Raw genomic sequence first — 9,878 nt, forward strand, 5'->3', positions numbered from 1 at the left:
TCCTTCTCCTCCTTCCCCTCCTCCCCCTCCTCCCTCCTCCCCCTCCTCCCTCCTCTCCATCCTCCCTCCTCCCCCTCCTCCCTCCTCCCCCTCCTCCTCTTCCCTCCCCCTCTTCCTCCCTCCTCCCCCTCTTCCTCCTTCCTTCCCCTCATCCTCTATCCTTCTCTCCGTCCCTCTTCTTTCCCCCTCCTCCTTTTTTCTTCCCCCTCCCTCTCTTCCGCTTCCTCCCTCCTCCCCTTCTCTTCCCTTCCTCCTTCCTCCCCCGTCCTCTCCGTACTCCCCTTCCTCCTCCTCCCCCTACTCCCCTTCCTCCTCTTCCTCCTACCCCACTGTTGTCACCGTCACCATCATCTCATCATCACCATGAAGCACCTGGGCCACCCACCACCCCATGTGTGAGACATGGGTGGGGCTTCCACCTGTCACCCCTGGCCAGAGCCCTGGTGTGAAAGGAGCTGATTTGCCACTTTCCACAGACAAAGGGGACCCCAGTCACTTTGTAGCCAGGCAGGGAAAGCAAACGTGACTTGAGTGTTCCTGACCCCATGAGTGTCGCTGAGACACTGAGGCTGGGAGGGAGTGAGCACACCCTGAAAACGGGGATCCCCTCTCCCTGGAACAGGCCTCATGCTGGGTAAAGGGATCTCCTCTCCCCCCGGAACAGGCCTCGTGCTCTAAAGGCTCCGGATTCCTGGCGCCTGCCCTGTCCTGAGTCCTCATGTTATATAACCCGGCACTGGCATCTGTTTTCGTCCTCACTTCACAGAAGGGAAACCAAGGCATGGAGAGGTTGTGCGGCTCACCCTGGGTCACACGGCCAGCTTGCAGGGGACGCGGCCTGTGGTGCCCTCCAGGCTCAGCCTGGGTGACAGGGCCAGCTCACGGGGGATGCGGCCTGCGGTGCCCTCCAGGCTCAGCCTGGGTGACAGGGCCAACTCACGGGGCCCGTGGCCTGCGGAGTCCTCCAGGCTCACCCTGGGTCACAGGGCCAGTTTGCAGGGACAGCAGCCTGCGGTGCCTTCCAGGCTCACCCTGGGTCACGCGGCCAGTTCGCGGGGCCCGTGGCCTGCAGAGTCCTCTAGGCTCACCCTGGGTCATGCGGCCAGTTCGTGGGGACAGCAGCCTGAGGTGTCCTCCAGGCTCACCCTGGGTCACGCAGTCAGCTCACGGGGGCCGCGGCCTGCGGTACCGTCCAGGGAAGCGGGGCCCTGTGGGCGGGATGGGATGAGACCTTCAGCAATTGTGGGAGGAGGGGAGTGGGGGTCAGAGAGAGGCACCAGCCGGCTGTGAGGAGTGAATTGTGTCCCCCAAAAAGATGCACTGAGTCCTGGCTCCAGCACTGTAGAATCTGGTCTTACCTGGAGAAGAGGCCTTCACAGAGGTGATTAAGTTAAGATGAGGTCATCAGAGAGGCCCTAACCCGGCATGACACGTGTCCTCACAAACGGGAGCTTTGGACACAGGCACGCGGGGCAAACGCTGGGGGAAGACTGCAGCGACGCCGTGGCTAGCCAAGGAGCTGCCGAGCCGCCGGGAGCTCAGAGGGCCTGGCGCCTTCCTGAAACTCCTCATGCTGGTGTTGGGGACACAGAGGTGGGTCCCACAGGGTGGGTCTGCTCTCGAGGGGCACCAAGCAGGGGAGAGAAGACAGAGCAGAGATCAGTGAGGGAACTGCACGCCGATCCCGGGCCAGACCCCGACTTTCACAAGGAGACACACGTCGGGGACGCCAGGGAGGCAGGAAAACGTTCCCAGACACTCAGCGGGGCCCGCAGGCTGCCCAGGAGCAGAGACTCCAGACGTTCATGCCACAGAGGCAGAGAGGGAGAGGAGGCACTGGGGCCCCGAGGCTGAGAGGGGCGCAGGGAGCAGCCTGCCCACCACGGGGCTGGGCCTCACCTGCACCTGTGCTCTCAGCGTGGAGGCAGAGACCGGGAACCTGTCCAGGGAAAACCAACAGCCTCCCCAGGAGACCTCACAGTGTCCGCTTGGCAAAGACACCCCTGTCCACCCCTGTGTTCTGGCAAAGCCCCCACAGAGTCACCCTAACCCCCTCAAAGCCGAGCACCTCAAAACCCATGCCCGCCTGGAGAGTTCTTGCCCTCTTTCTCATGCGATGTTTTATTAAAAAAAAAAAGCGGGGGGGTGTAAAGGATATTAGAACTATTAGAACTGAGGCCTGGCCTCAGAGGGTAGTGAGCACTAAAGGGAAAAGGAAAATGATGGTCAAAATCATTTTAAAGCCAGGACAATATGGTGAGACCCCACCTCTGTAAAAAATAGAAAAATTAGCTGGGCGTGGTGTTGTGCACCTGTAGCCCCAGCTACTCGGGAGGCTGAGATGGGAAGATCACTCAAGCCCAGGAGGTTGAGGCTGCAGTGTACCAAGGTCACACCACTGCACTCCAGCCTGGGTGGCAGAGCCAGACCCTGTCTCCAGAAAAATCATTTTGGTTGGAAGAAGGTAGCTGATGAAAAGTCCTAGTTTAGGTTGACTACTGGGAAGATGCTGATCTTAAGCACTGAGATGGCATCAAGCCAGATTCCCCGCCGGAGCCGCCTTACTCCGTGGTGTGGTGTCCAGCGCAGTGGCAGGTCACTGCCCGGGGGACCGGACCGCCGAGGCCATCTCCAGGGTTTTTGGGAAACTGCAGAATGGGTTGTTCTGAGGGTGCAAGGCCCTGGGTGGTGCCGGGGGGGTGGGAAGAGGCAGGAGTGGGGTCCCGTGGGGCCTGTGGGCTCCCCATTGCCCCCCAGCTCCTGGCTTGCTCAGCTATCTTTGTGGCAAGTCAGAGCCCCTGGGGTTCGCTCCCCGGGCCCCTGAGCCAACCTGAAATCAACAGGAAGCCCCTGAGCTGGCCCGGTGCCTCTGGTTTCAGAAGCAGCCAGCGGCCACTGCTGAAATATAGCCCTGGAGTGATGCGGGCCTCAGACTGGCTCCAAGGACTGAACCACAACGCAGGCTGCAAAGGTCATTTTGTGAGAACCCATAAAGTCCTCACCCAGCATCCCCTGGGCTTCAGCCCTTACCTGTCCGCCAGGTGCAGGCCAGCCTCAGAGCCCAACCTCGCCCAGCAGGCCCAGTCCCCATCCTGGACCCTCCCCTGCTCCCACGATCCTCCCAGCAGTCATCTGACGGGTCACCTATACCCATTCTAAGATGAGGAAACAGGCCCAGCCGCTGAACTCAGCCACAAACCTAGGAGGTGAGCGAGCTGAGCCTCTCGGCCAGGTTAGGGGTAGACACTGACTCAGGAGTGTTGTGCCCTCCCCAGGGCACAGTCTTGTAACAACCTGGTGTTCTGATTGACGAGACACTTCCAAAACAGCATCCTGAGGACTCACATGTGAGACAGGCAGTGTCCTCAAGCTGAGAGGGCCTGAGCTCGCTGCCTCCGTTCAGCCTCCCCTTTTGGGTCTCTCACCCCCGCCCCTGGGCCTCAGTTTTTCATCTGTAAAACAGAGCATGCGAGATGCTCTAGACAAACCCTGTGACCCACCTCTACTGAATTAGACCCTCATCGAATGCTGGCTGATGATCCAGGTGAGCCTGTTTTCACACCTGTGCACTGTCTGAGACAGGATAAAAACCCAGAGGTCCAGCTCTCAGTGTGGTTGCAAAGAGACTTACGCGAGACGCATGGGGAAGATGTTGAACAAATATCACTAGTGCTTGGAAGGAAGAGGGTCTCTGAGCCCAGCTTATAATCCCCTAGACCCTGAGTCCTCGAGTGGAGACAATGTTTGAATCATCTTTAGCTCCCCAAGGCCTGTACAGGGCCCAGCATATAAGGGCTCAACATACATTTGAGGTAAAAAACAGTGGGGAAAGCATGTTTTCCTAAAGATGTTGTCTCCAGCCACACACCAGGGTGCCTGACATTCCACTGCTGGAGGTGCCTCCCTTCCCCAAAGGGCTGGCAGGGCAGCAGGGTTTAGTCCATTTACGTTTATTGTACATATCAAAATAGTTGAATTTAAGTGTGTCATTTTGCTACTTGTTTCCTATCTGTATCATACATATTTTTGTTCTTCTGATTTTTCTTCGTCTTCTTTCCTGCCTTCTTTGGTGTAATCAAATATCTTACATCATCAGTTCTCTAAGTGTAACCTGGGGACCCTTGAGGCATCCCGAGACCCTTTCAGGGGATCCATGGTGTCCAAGTCATCATGTGCATAAGCTGTCATTTGTCCTTCTGGCTCTCATTTTCTCATTGGTCTAATGCAAACGCGGATACGAGAATCCAGCTGCTCTCTTGCAAGTTCAAACATTAGAGAAATTTGCAAAAATGTAAAACAATGCTATTTATTTTGTACTGTGGAGAATATAGTTTTTTCTTTAAAAATATTATTTATGTCAATGTGTCATGGGCTTGTTATTGTGAATAATTATTTTACTGAGATTTAGTAAAAAAGACTCAGTTTTTATTCCCATTTCAGGGATGAGCACACAGCAGTTCTCCTCCTTCACCTTGATGTGACTTTGGGCTGAGCCGGCTGTCAGCCTTGGCCTCAATCCTTGATTCCAGGACAGAAGTGCTCTCTCTGCCCGCTTGGCCTCTTCTGGTCTTGGCAGGAAAGGTCCTTGCTGACACCTTCCCTCCCCACCCCCAGTCTGTAGGAGGCCATGTGGGCAGTCCAGCCAGGATGGCCAGGAGAGCAAGATGTTTTTCTGGAATCGCATCCCAGTTGGCCAGAGGCAACTCCGTTTTGTCCAGGGAACCCTTGGCTCCATCCCCCTGGAATCCTGCCCCTGTCTGAAGCTCAAGTCCAGGCCTGGAGGGGCAGCCAGGAGTGAGCGGGAAGGCTCTGGGCCAGGCGCGTGGCCTGGGAGGGTCTGCAGGAGCTGACTCTGGAAGTTGGAGGCCCGGAGGCTCTCTCCACGTCAGTTCCTGTCTTAACTTCCAGTAGCCCCAGAACAGCCCTTCCCATCACCATCCCACGGACAAGCCTGGGGTGTCCGGGGCCCTGGGACTGAAGATGCAGCCCTGCCCAGGACAGGCAAAACCTCCTCAGCCCTCTCAGTCCCAGCTCCCCTCAGTCACCCCTGCAGCCTCACCCAGGGCAGGCAAAACCTTCGAAGCCGTCTCAGTCCCAGCTCTTCCCAGTCACCCCTGCAGCCTCGCCCAGGGCAGGCAAAACCTCCGCAGCCGTCTCAGTCCCAGCTCCCCCCAGTCACCCCTGCAGCCTCGCCCAGGGCAGGCAAAACCTCTGCAGCCGTCTCAGTCCCACCTCCCCCCAGTCACCCCTGCAGCCTCGCCCAGGGCAGGCAAAACCTCTGCAGCCGTCTCAGTCCCAGCTCCCCCCAGTCACCCCTGCAGCCTCGCCCAGGGCAGGCAAAACCTCCGCAGCCGTCTCAGTCCCACCTCCCCCCAGTCACCCCTGCAGCCTCGCCCAGGGCAGGCAAAACCTCTGCAGCCGTCTCAGTCCCAGCTCCCCCCAGTCACCCCTGCAGCCTCGCCCAGGGCAGGCAAAACCTCTGCAGCCGTCTCAGTCCCACCTCCCCCCAGTCACCCCTGCAGCCTCGCCCAGGGCAGGCAAAACCTCCGCAGCCGTCTCAGTCCCAGCTCCCCCCAGTCACCCCTGCAGCCTCGCCCAGGGCAGGCAAAACCTCCGCAGCCGTCTCAGTCCCACCTCCCCCCAGTCACCCCTGCAGCCTCGCCCAGGGCAGGCAAAACCTCCGCAGCCGTCTCAGTCCCACCTCCCCCCAGTCACCCCTGCAGCCTCGCCCAGGGCAGGCAAAACCTCCGCAGCCGTCTCAGTCCCACCTCCCCCCAGTCACCCCTGCAGCCTCGCCCAGGGCAGGCAAAACCTCCGCAGCCGTCTCAGTCCCACCTCCCCCCAGTCACCCCTGCAGCCTCGCCCAGGGCAGGCAAAACCTCCGCAGCCGTCTCAGTCCCAGCTCCCCCCAGTCACCCCTGGTGGCCCCAGGCCTGGCCATCTCTGATGGCTATCAAAGGACAGAGGTGAGAGCTGCAGGAACCCCCAGAGACCCATCCCTGGGCCCTCCCTCTGGAAGGCCAGGGCATCCCCTTTGATGAGACCAGCAGTGTCAATCCTGACAGGCACCTGAAGACCCCGGGGCCTGACAAGCGGGCCCAGGCAGCACAGATGGGCTGCCCACCACTGTCTGGGTCTATGATCAGTGCCCCCCGCCCAAGGGGCCGCTGCCCACCCCTCACTGCAGCTCTAAAGATGGAGGGTGCTTCCTGTGTCCCTGCCAGTGGCTGGTAGAGGAGGCCCACTATCTCAGCGGCTACTTCCGAGGGCAGGCTGGGCCTCCACCCCTCAAAAACTCGCTGTTTCCCAAGCTCCTGCAGGATACCGTGGAGCCCTTGGTGTTTGTCCTGAGTTTCTGCTTTGGAAGTACTGCCCGACATTGTGAAAAACCCGACACAGAGGAACCCAGGAGCCACGGCCTCCAGCCAGCTCCAGGCTGGCCTTCCCCTTCAAAAGGGGTGGGGGACACAGCCAGGATGGGGCCCTGAGCAGTTCACAGTGGCAGAAGGTCTGTGTGAGCATTTCTGCACCCAGGCCCTCCTCCAGGAGCACTGGCCCAGGCCCCTGAGGCAGACGGACAGTGCAGGGGCTTCTCTGCAGGGGCTCCGGGGAGCAGCAGCCCTGGGCACAAGCCCCCCGCCCACTCTCCCCCGTCCCACCCCTCCAACCTCAGTGACTCCACAGTGAAGGTCAGGGGGCCACGTTATGCAGCCTGGCCCAAGAACAGCTCCCCTGTCCCCATCAAGAAACACCAAGCGGTGGGACCCAGATGCAAGGCTGTCCTGACACAGCCACAAAGGGGCCCCCACGGCCCCTGCCTGCAGGGACCTAAGGGCCTCCGAGTGGTGACCAACCTACAACCAGCTCACGAGGAAACGATGCTCCGCACGGTGCACCTGGAAACGACGCTCCCCAACATGCACCCGGAAACAACGCTCCCCACCGTGCACCCGGAAACGATGCTCCCCACCGTGCACCCGGAAACGATGCTCCCTGCCGTGCACCTGGAAACGACGCTCCCCAACATGCACCTGGAAATTACGCTCCCCACCGTGCACCCGGAAACGACGCTCCCCACCGTGCACCCGGAAACGATGCTCCCTGCCGTGCACCTGGAAACGACGCTCCCCAACATGCACCTGGAAACTACGCTCCCCACCGTGCACCCGGAAACGACGCTCCCCAACATGCACCTGGACGACAACCTTCGAGTCCCGCCCACCAGCTCACGAGGAAACGATGCTCCCCCTCCCCACCGTGCACCTGGAAACGATGCTCCCCACTGTGCACCTGGATGACAGCCTGCGCGTCCCGCCCACCCGCCTTCTCTTAAAGGGCCCCGGGAGCCGCTGGCGGCCTCTGGCTGGGAGAAGACCCTACTCATACTAAGAGAGAGCCAGGCCCCATGAATCCACAGTCCGCAGGCCAGCCTCAGTCTCTGCAGCCCGGGGACGGCCCTCCCTGTCCCAGGAGCTGTGGTCATCAGGCGCGGTGCCCAGGATCAGGACAGGGGCAGCCCCAGCCCCCTTTGAGCCCTCCTGAGGTCCTTCCTGTCTGTCCATCACGGCCAGGGCCCTGCTTGCAGGACACGACCTGCAGGCCCATGTACAGGGCCCGGCCATGCCCACCAGAGGCTTCCTGGTGTGACCAGAGCCACCGCCTCCTCTTTCCCAGTGGACACAGATGCTCTGGGGAGGACGGGCCACCCTGAGCGTTGGGGACCCTAAGCCCTGGATAGGAAGGGTCCCGTGCAGCTGCCTTGGAAGCAAGACCCCAGCTGTACACTTTGGGGTCTTTACAACACCAAGGCTGAAGAAGTGCTGGGGGGGGGTGATGGTGGGAGCCTAAGGCGAGTCGTGGGGAGAGGACCCCATGCCAAAAACAGTTAATTTAGGGAAAGGCGGTCAGAGAAAGGAAAGCTGAGCCCCTGTGGGGGGAATGAGGGAGCTCAGGACCCCACCGCGGCCAAAGGGTTCCCTCCACAGGCTGCAGGGTCCTGCAGGCGGACGTGGGTGCAGGACAGCTGGTCCGGGCAGGGTCCGGGTGCTGGGCACACCTGCCCACGGCAGAGGATTCCTTCTCAGACACCGCGCAGCCTGCGGGGCAGGGGAAGCTCCCACGAGGGGCTGCGTGCCTGACACTCCCCTCACCCTCCACTCAACTAAGCTCGGGCTTGGGGGAAGGAATAGGAGAGCTTGGAGCTTTGTGAACGGAGGCAGCTTCTTGCCACCTGCCCAGAGGGGAAAGCCTGCCGGCCTCCGGGGCCGCATCGTCTGACCCTGTTGGACAAACACCTGCTGGGCTTCGACCGGGAGCCAGGCCTCTTCCAGCTCTTTATAAATCCGAGCTCATCTGAGGCTCAGGAACCCAGGAACCAGGCACTCTGCGGCCTTCCCATGTGACAGATGCAGCCACTGAGGCCGGAGACCTCCAAGACTCCCCCAATATGCCCAGCATCGGACGGAGACCCCCGAGACTCCCCCAACACTCCCAGCATCAGACGGAGACCCCCGAGACTCCCCCAACACGCCCAGCATCGGATGGAACCCGGGTGTTGGTTCCAGGGGTCCCCGCCCTATGCACCGCACCCCCTGCTCAGGCCGGCTTATCTTCGAGGGAATAAGAAAGCATCGTGTCCACCCCAAGACCCCCGCAGGCCCAGTGTCCCCAGAGGGCCGGGCGCCCCAGGCCTAGTGAGGAAGGGGCACCCACTGAGGCTGCTGGGAGCTTTCAGGGTGAGGGGTGTGGCACCGGGGACGGAACGCCCAGGCCAGGTTTCAGGCTGGGATTAAGGGTCCTCCAGACCCTCCTTGAATTTTAGGAGAAGCACGAAGGGGTGGGGGCGTCTCTCTCTTCTCTTAGGAGATCTGGAGGAGACTTCGGGCACTGCACTGTGGCCTCCACGACAAGCCGAGGAACAAGGCCGTCCACCCCTGAGAAGGCCACGCAGACCACTCACCGAGGGTCCTGGGGGCTATGGACAGAATGTTTGTGCCCCAAACTCCTGCTCTGAAATCCTCACTCCTAAGGTGTTGGTGTTTGGAGCGGGGCCTTGGGGAAGCGATGAGGTGAAGCCCCGTGGATGGGTTAGTGCCCTTACAAAGGAGGGCTCCAAGAGCTTCCTCACCCCTGTCCCATGTAAGGACACAGCCAGAAGGCACCATATATGACCCAGGAAGCCCTCAGCAGACGCTGAACCTGCCGCCGCCTGGTGTCCACTTCCAGCCTCTGGAGCTGTGAGGGATGAATTTCGGCCGCTTATGAGCTGCCTGGTGCAGAGTTTTCTGTTCCAGCAGCCGGGAGGGACTAAGACGAGGTCCCACAAACTCCATGTGGAGATGGCCCCATTGGGGGCTGTGTGGCCACTCTGGGCCCAGAACACACCCCCTGCCTGGCCCCCGGCTTCCGTCTGGGACCCTCCTCGACCTCTCATCCTTGTGTCTAGGGGGACCAACCCTGCTCCATCTCAGGTGGGCACCTTCACAGATCCGGCCTACGAGAGGACCAGTGATGGCCAACAGTGAGCAGGAGGCCCTGGGGACCCACACACACTGCCCAGGCTGTCCTCAAGAAACACTGGGAGAGCTGCACATCTTTAAGCCTGGCAGGGGTGAAGGAGGTCACACCTCTTTACACGTGGAATGTGGGTGCCTCCCTGCAGCAGAAACCATCCCAGAGGGCAGCAGGACAGAGAGGGAGGCAGGTGCAACCGTGGCTGAGCGTCCAAGTCCCTGGATCAGACCAGACCTGAAGCCGCACGTTCCCCCAGACTTTGCAGCCCTGTGACCCATGCGTTCTCGCTGAGATGGAGGGAGTTTCCTTCACTTGCAGCCCAGAGAGACCCAGCATCGGGAGCCGCCCACCCCTGCCCATCCCGC

At 60.6% G+C, this 9,878-nt stretch overlaps 2 annotated features.

Annotated features, from left to right (window-relative positions):
- Positions 523-1,071: an enhancer, noted in NCBI's record as "H3K27ac-H3K4me1 hESC enhancer chr7:454774-455322 (GRCh37/hg19 assembly coordinates)". NCBI's record gives its function as "activates a minimal SCP1, AML or CMV promoter by ChIP-STARR-seq in naive H9 embryonic stem cells {active_cell/tissue: H9 hESC(naive)}" and the evidence as "EXISTENCE:reporter gene assay evidence [ECO:0000049][PMID:30033119]".
- Positions 5,797-6,553: an enhancer, noted in NCBI's record as "H3K27ac-H3K4me1 hESC enhancer chr7:460048-460804 (GRCh37/hg19 assembly coordinates)". NCBI's record gives its function as "activates a minimal SCP1, AML or CMV promoter by ChIP-STARR-seq in naive H9 embryonic stem cells {active_cell/tissue: H9 hESC(naive)}" and the evidence as "EXISTENCE:reporter gene assay evidence [ECO:0000049][PMID:30033119]".

The sequence above is a fragment of the Homo sapiens genome, chromosome 7 (genome assembly GCF_000001405.40).
Source record: "Homo sapiens chromosome 7, GRCh38.p14 Primary Assembly".
Lineage (NCBI taxonomy): Eukaryota > Metazoa > Chordata > Mammalia > Primates > Hominidae > Homo > Homo sapiens.